Below are 935 nucleotides of genomic sequence, written 5' to 3'. Positions count from 1 at the left end.
AGTAGAAAGTCTCAAGTTACTCTAAGACATTCTAAATTTGGCTCAATGTTATCATCTTACACAATGAGCCAAAATTCAAATGTATGGATTGCTTCTCTCCCGATCAGACTTATGCCAACTGTCAAAGGAAACCAGAGAAAATTGGGTGAAGAATGGTTTCCACATTATCCCCGAGCTAACATTAAAGATAGCCTATTCCAGCTGGGCGCGGTGGCTCACGCCTGTAATCCCAGCACTTTGGGAGGCCGAGGCGGGCGGATCACGAGGTCAGGAGATTGAGACCATCCTAGCTAACACGGTGAAACCCCGTCTCTACTAAAAATACAAAAAATTAGCCGGGCGAGGTGGCGGGCGCCTGTAGTGCCAGCTACTCGGGAGGCTGAGGCAGGAGAATGGCGTGAACCCAGCGGGGCGGAGCCTGCAGTGAGCCGAGATCGCGCCACTGCACTCCAGCCTGGGCGACAGCGAGACTCCGTCTCAAAAAAAATAAAAAATAAAAAACAAAAGATAGCCTATTCCAAAATCAGGTCAAAGACATAATTATTCTGTTAACAAAACACAGAAACACAGAACAATTTTAAGGAGCAAGAGAACACGTTAATATGTTCTGAAATTCCCACTAGCATAATTGACCAAAACAATTCTAAAATTCCCCAAATTTTAATTCACATTAATTACAAATGACAAACACAATTAATATAAACTGTAATGGTCTAAACTAATTTGACTAAGCATGCAATGCACTGTTGGCAAGGTCAGGCTTTTATGCTCAATTACTGCTCATTCATCCTGATTTTAAAGAAACTGTTTTGTTTTGTGAGAAGGAACAATGACCCCACTATCCTAAGAACAATTAACCAATGTGAAAAGTTAGACAACAATCCAGTGGTATGGGGTGTGGAGGGGGGCACTGCATTTAGTTAAAATCTAAGAAC

The 935-nt window shown here is 42.5% G+C and overlaps 1 annotated feature.

The window, feature by feature from the left end:
- Positions 171-345: a silencer, noted in NCBI's record as "fragment chr2:55935598-55935772 (GRCh37/hg19 assembly coordinates)". NCBI's record gives its function as "represses an EF-1alpha promoter that drives an FKBP-Casp9 reporter gene in an ReSE screen in phorbol 12-myristate 13-acetate-treated (for megakaryocytic differentiation) K562 erythroleukemia cells {active_cell/tissue: K562(+PMA)}" and the evidence as "EXISTENCE:reporter gene assay evidence [ECO:0000049][PMID:32094911]".

Source organism: Homo sapiens, chromosome 2 (assembly GCF_000001405.40).
Source record: "Homo sapiens chromosome 2, GRCh38.p14 Primary Assembly".
Taxonomy (NCBI): Eukaryota; Metazoa; Chordata; class Mammalia; order Primates; family Hominidae; genus Homo; species Homo sapiens.
Note: the sequence above shows the minus strand (reverse complement) of the source record. Positions and strands in the feature narration are given on the sequence as shown.